The sequence below is a fragment of the Homo sapiens genome, chromosome 2, assembly GCF_000001405.40.
Source record: "Homo sapiens chromosome 2, GRCh38.p14 Primary Assembly".
NCBI lineage: Eukaryota > Metazoa > Chordata > Mammalia > Primates > Hominidae > Homo > Homo sapiens.
The window spans coordinates 35,436,111-35,442,263 of NC_000002.12; the positions used below are offsets into that span (position 1 = coordinate 35,436,111).

Below are 6,153 nucleotides of genomic sequence, written 5' to 3' on the forward strand. Positions count from 1 at the left end.
TAACATCAGCAAATTTCAGAAGCATTGGGGCAGCTAAAGCTAGAGAATTGATTAACCCTCTTACAAAATGGCTCTAATTCAACTGATTAGATGTTGAACGGTTGTTAAAGTTCAGCTCCAGTGATTCATTGCATTCTTCAGGAGCTCTACCTATCTCATTTAAAGTTACTAGAACTTAAAACGGTCCATATGAATACTTATAAACATGATATTTCTTTGTACTGGAAAATCTATTCATAATAATTCTAATATACATGCAGGGAGCTATTTGTTAGATTCTAAGCTTAGTAAGCAAAGCAGGGAGACCTGTGGTCTTTGCTAATTTAATTTGTTGTCATTCGATGAAGCTGTTCTCATTGTCATTTATCATTAAACATCAGGACCTTGACCCATATGAAATTGTGACTTGAAAACCGAGAAAGAGTACAGCACTCTGCATAGATGAAAAACTCCAGAGAAGACTTCAGTTTCCACACTAAAAATGTCTTTGGGTCGGTAGTCACTATGAGTTAAGAAAGTAGATGTAAGCTTCTCACTGCTTCTTTTTCTAGTTACATATTTTTCCTTGTCTACGGTGGGATGGGATCCATAAAAAATTAAAAAAAGATATGTATCCAAATTTATATATTTGAATAACAATTAGTTTAGTCATTGAAGGAAACAGGCATCAGTAATGGTGGTGTTGTCAGTAACACATCATAACAATAAGGTGTTTAAATGCAAGTTTCCTATGTGCCAGGGAATATGCTAATCCCTTTAGATATTTTTTATTTATTTAAATTTAAATGTACTCTCTGTAGTAGGTATTACTTTTACTCGCGTCCTTGTGAAGAGACCACCAAACAGGCTTTGTGTGAGCAATAAAGCTGTTTATTTCACCTGGGTGCAGGCGGGCTGAGTCTGAAAAGAGAGTCAGTGAAGAGAGACAGGGTGGGGCCGTTTTATAGGATTTGGGTAGGTAAAAGAAAAAGGGGGGTTGTTCTCTGGTGGGCAGGAGTGGGGGGTCCCAAGGTGCTCAGTAGGGGAGCTTTTGAGCCAGGATGAGCCAGGAGAAGGAATTTCACAAGATAATGCCATCAGTTAAAGCAGGAACAGGCCATTTTCACTTCTTTTGTGGTGGAATGTCATCAGTTAAGGCAGGAACCGGCCATCTGGATGTGTAGGTGCAGGTCACAGGGGATATGATGGCTTAGCTTGGGCTCAGAGGCCTGATATTCCTGTCTTCTTATATTAATAAGAAAAATAAAATGAAATAGTGGTAAAGTGTTGGGACGGTGAAAATTTTCTGGGGGTGGTATGGAGAGATAATGGGTGATGTTTCTCAGGGCTGCTTCGAGCGGGATTAGGGGCGGCGTGGGAACCTAGAGTGGGAGAGATTAAGCTGAAGGAAGATTTTGTGGTAAGGGGTGATATTGTGGGGTTGTTAGAAGAAACATTTGTCATGTAGAATTATTGGTGATGGCCTGAATATGGCTTTTATGGATTGAAAACTAAACGGAATAAGAGAAGGAGAAATACAGGTATTAAAGGATTAAGAATTGGGAGGACTTAGGACATCTAATTAGAGAGTGCTTAAAGAGGTTCAGCATAGCCTTGCCAGCAAAGATTATTTATTTACTTCAAGAGTTAAGAGTGGCAGTTTGGGGATAGCACGAGGAGATATCAGCTGTGATGGCTTGGAGAAACAATGTAAACCGGCAATGTAAACAAGAGCAGGGCATGTATGAGTAGTTGAGAATGGTGAACAGGAGTATGACTAGACAGAAAATAGTAGGGATGACAAGTTTTTTGGGGCACAGTCTAAGTTGGTCTGGTGTCTGGGGTGAGACTGGGGCCTAATAAAAAGAGCATCTATACAGGAGCTCAAATGGGCTGTGCCCTGTAGCATTCTGAAGACAGGCCTGACTTCTGAGAAAGGAAAGTCGTAAAAGTATTGTCCAGTCCTTTTTAAGTTGGTGGCTGAGCTTGGTGAGGTGTGTTTTTAAAAGACCTTTAGTCCGTTCTACTTTTCCTGAAGACGGAGGACCATAAGGGATATAAAGGTTTCACTGAATACTAAGAGCCTGAAAAACTGCTTGGCTGATTTGACTAATAAAGGCTGGTCTGTTAGCAGACTGTACAGAGGTGGGAAGGCTAAACTGAGGAATTGTGTCTGACAGAAGGGAAGAAATGACTGCGGTGGCCTTCTCAGACCCTATAGGAAAGGCCTCTAACTATCCAGTGAAAGTGTCTACCTAGACTAAGAGGTATTTTAGTTTTCTGACTCGGGGCATGTTGAGTAAAGCTAATTTGCCAGTCCTGGGTGGGGGCAAATCCCTGAGCTTGATGTGTAGGGAAGGGAAGGGGCCTGAATAATCCCTGAGGAGTAGTAGAATAGCAATTGGAACACTGAGAAGTTATTTCCTTGAGGATAGATCTCCACGATGGAAAGGAAATGAGAGGTTTTAAGAGGTGGGCTAGTGGCTTGTACTATAGCATAGCCTGCCTTTGCTGGTGTGTGGCGATTAGGCCTGGTGGAACTGCCATCAATAAACTAAGTGTGATCAGGGTGAGGAACAGGAAAGAAGAAAATATGGGGAAATGGGGTGAACATCAGGTAGATCAGAGAGATGCAGTCATGAGGGTCAGGTGTGGTATCCGGAATAATGTGGGAGGCCGGATTGAAATCTGGGCCAGGAACAATGGTAATTGTGGGAGACTCAACAAAGAGTGAGTACAGCTGAAGGAGCCAGGGATCAGAAAGTATATGCGTCAGGTGTGAGGAAGAAAATAGATTTTGGAAGTTATGAGAAATGTAGAGAGTGAGCTGAGCATAGTTTGTGATTTTTAGGGCCTCTAAAAGTATTAAGGCGGCAGCAGCTGCTACACGGAGACATGATGGCCAGCCTAAAACAGTAAGATCAAGTTGTTTGGACAAAGGCTACAGGATGTGATCCTGGTCCTTGTGTAAGAATTCTGACTGCATAGCCCTGCACTTCGGCTGTGTGTAATGAAAAGGGTTGGGATGAGTCAGGGAGAGCTAGGATGGATGCAGTCTCTAAAGCTGTTTTCAAGGAACGGAAAGAGGAGTGGGGAAAGGATTTAGGATCTATGGGGTCAGCTAGGTTTCCTTTTGTGAGTTTATATAATGGTTTTGTTAGGATGGCAAAACCAGGTATCCAAAGGCGAAAGTATCCAACCATGCCCAGGAAGGAAAGGACTTGTTGTTTTGTAGAAGGGATTGAGGTTTGGGAGATTAGTGGGACACGATTAGCAGGGAGAGCACATGTGTTTTTACAAGAATTATGCCGAGATAGGTAACAGATGAGGAATAAATTTGGGCTTGACTGAAGTAATGGGGGCTGTCTGTGAAGCTTTGCGGCAGTACAGCCCAGGTAATTTGTGAGCCTGATGGGAGTCAGGGTCAGTCCAAGTGAAAGCGAAGTAGAGGCTGGGATGAAGGGTGCAAAGGAATAGTAAAGAAAGCATGTTTGAGATCCAGAACAGAATAATGGATTGTGGAGGGAGGTATTGAGGATATGAGAGTTTATAGGTTTGGCACCATGGGGTGGATAGGCAAAACAATTTGGTTGATAAGGCGCAGATCCTGAACTAACCTGTAAGTCTTGTCTGGTTTTAGGACAGGTAAAATGGGGAAATTGTAAGGAGAGTTTATAGGCTTTAAAAGGCCATGCTGTAACAGGCGAATGATAACAGACTTTAATCTTTTTAAAGTGTGCTGTGGGATGGGATATTTGCATTGAGAGAGGTAAGGGTGATTAGGTTTTAATGAGATGGTAAGGGGTGCATGATCGGTCACCAAGGAGGGAGTAGAGGTATCTCATACTTGTGGGTTAAGGTGGGGGAATACAAGAGGAGGATGCAAAGGAGGCTTTGGATTGGGAAGAAGGGTGGCAGCGAGATGTGGCTGTAATCCAGGAATAGTCAGGGAAGCAGATAATTTAGTTAAAGTGGCTCGCCCTAATAAGGGAACTGGGCAGGTGGGGATAACTAAAAAGGAGTGCTTAAAAGAGTATTGTTTAAGTTGGCACCAGAGTTGGGGAGTTTTAAGAGGTTTAGAAGCCTGGCCATCAATACCCACAACAGTTATGGAGGCAAGGGAAACAGGCCCTTGAAAAGAAGGTAATGTGGAGTGGATAGGCTCTGTATTGATTAGGGGGACGGACTTACCCTCCACTGTGAGAGTTACCTAAAGCTTAGCGTCTGTGATGGTCTACGGGGCTTCCGAGGAGATCGGGCAGCGTCAGTCTTCAGCCGCTAAGCCGAGAAGATCTGGGAAGGAGTCAGAGAGCCTCCGGCCAGAGTTCCAGCGGCTCTGGGAGTGGCTGCTAGGTGAGTTGAGCAGTTCGATTTCCAGTGGGGTCCCGCACAGATGAGACATGGCTTAAGAGGAATCCCGGGCTGCGGGCATTCCTTGGCCTGGTGGCCAGACTTCTGGCACTTGTAGCAAGCTCCTGGGGGAGGCGTTTCTGGAGGAACGCCTGGCCGCTGTGGTTTAGGCGTTTGGAAGTTCTTGTGTGCTGGAGATGTGGCTGGGGTTTGTCTCATAGTGGAGGCAAGGAATTGCAACTCAGAAATATGTTGCTATTTGGCTGCCTCTATTATTGTACACCTTGAAGGCGAGGTTAATTAAGTCTTGTTGTGGGGTTTGAGGGCCGGAATTTAATTTTTGGAGTTTTATTTAATGTCGGGAGCAGATTGGGTAATAAAATGTATTTTGAGAATAAGATGGCCTTTTGACCTTTTAGGGTCTAGGGCTGTAAAGCGTCTCAGGGCTGCTGCCAAACGAGCCACGAACTGGGCTGGATTTTTATGTTTGATGAAAACGCTATCTGATTTGGGATAAAGAGAAAGGAGCATTAACCTTGACTATGCCTTTAGCTCCAGCCACCTTTTTAAGAGTAAATTGCTGGGCAGGTGGGGGAGGGCTAGTCACGGAACGAAACTGTAAGCCGGACCGGGTGTGAGGAGGGGAGATGATAAAAGGATTACAGGATGAAGGAGCGGAGGCTGAGGAAGAATTGGGACTTAGCTCGGCCTGGCGAGGAGGGGAGAGGTCAGATAGGTCTGTAGAAAAGGAAGATTAGAAAGACTCAGAGATGCTTGGGGTTGGGACTGAGGGACAGGCGGGAAGGAAAGAAGGAAGATTTGGGAGGAGCTGCACTGGGAACAGAGACTAGGGAGGCACTGATGTGTAAAAGAATGCCTGGACATCCAGCACCTCACACCATTTGCCCATTTTATGACAATAATTATTTAGATCTTGTAGGATGGAAAAATTGAAAGTGCCGTTTTCTGGCTATTTGGAACTGTTGTCGTGTTTGTATTGGGGTCAAGCGGCATTTCAGAAGAAAATAAGATGCTTAGATTTTAGGTCAGGTGAGAGTTGAAGAGGTTTTAAGTTCTTAAGAACACAGGCTAAGGGAGAAGAAGGAGGAATGGAAGCTGAAACCTTGCCCATAGTGAAGGAGGCAAGCCCAGAGAAAAGAGAGTAGAGACACAGAGAAGGGGTGGGGCGTTCTTGCCCTCCAGAAAAGCAGAGAAGGGGTTGGGGCATGGAAATAAGGGATCGGGGCACAGAGATAAGAGGTTGGGTTCCTGTCCCTCCCCCAGAAAAGCAGGACATGCCGCTAAGGGTGAAGGACCAAGGCAGGCGTCCCTGTGGGGCCTGACACCTCTGAAACCTCTCTGATTAGAGAGGTGTCCCTGCAATGATTAAACACCAAGGGAAGGCTGCCTTTCCTAGTCCGTGACCGGCGCTGGAGTTTTGGGTCCACGGATAAAACGTGTCTCTGTCTCTACCAGAAAATGAAAGGAATTGAAATTAAGAGAAGGGAGAGATTGAAGAGTGGCACCAAGGTTGAAAGGAGAGAGGTTGAGGGATAGTGAGGGAGGTTGGAGAAGAGAGTAAAAAGAGGCCACTTACCGGATTTGAAATTGGTGAGATGTTTCTTGGGCTGGTTGGTCTGAGGACCCGAGGTTGTAGGTGGATCGTTCTCACAGAGCAAAGAGGAAGAGGACAGGGGATTGATCTCGCAAGGGAGGTCCCCCCGATCTGAGTCACGGTACTAAATTTCACTTGCGTCCGTGTGAAGAGACCACCAAACAGGCTTTGTGTGAGCAATAAAGCTGTTTATTTCACCTGGGTGCAGG

At 45.1% G+C, this 6,153-nt stretch overlaps 1 annotated feature.

Moving 5' to 3' along the window:
- Positions 463 to 1,357: an enhancer, noted in NCBI's record as "OCT4-NANOG hESC enhancer chr2:35661639-35662533 (GRCh37/hg19 assembly coordinates)". NCBI's record gives its function as "activates a minimal SCP1, AML or CMV promoter by ChIP-STARR-seq in primed H9 embryonic stem cells {active_cell/tissue: H9 hESC(primed)}" and the evidence as "EXISTENCE:reporter gene assay evidence [ECO:0000049][PMID:30033119]".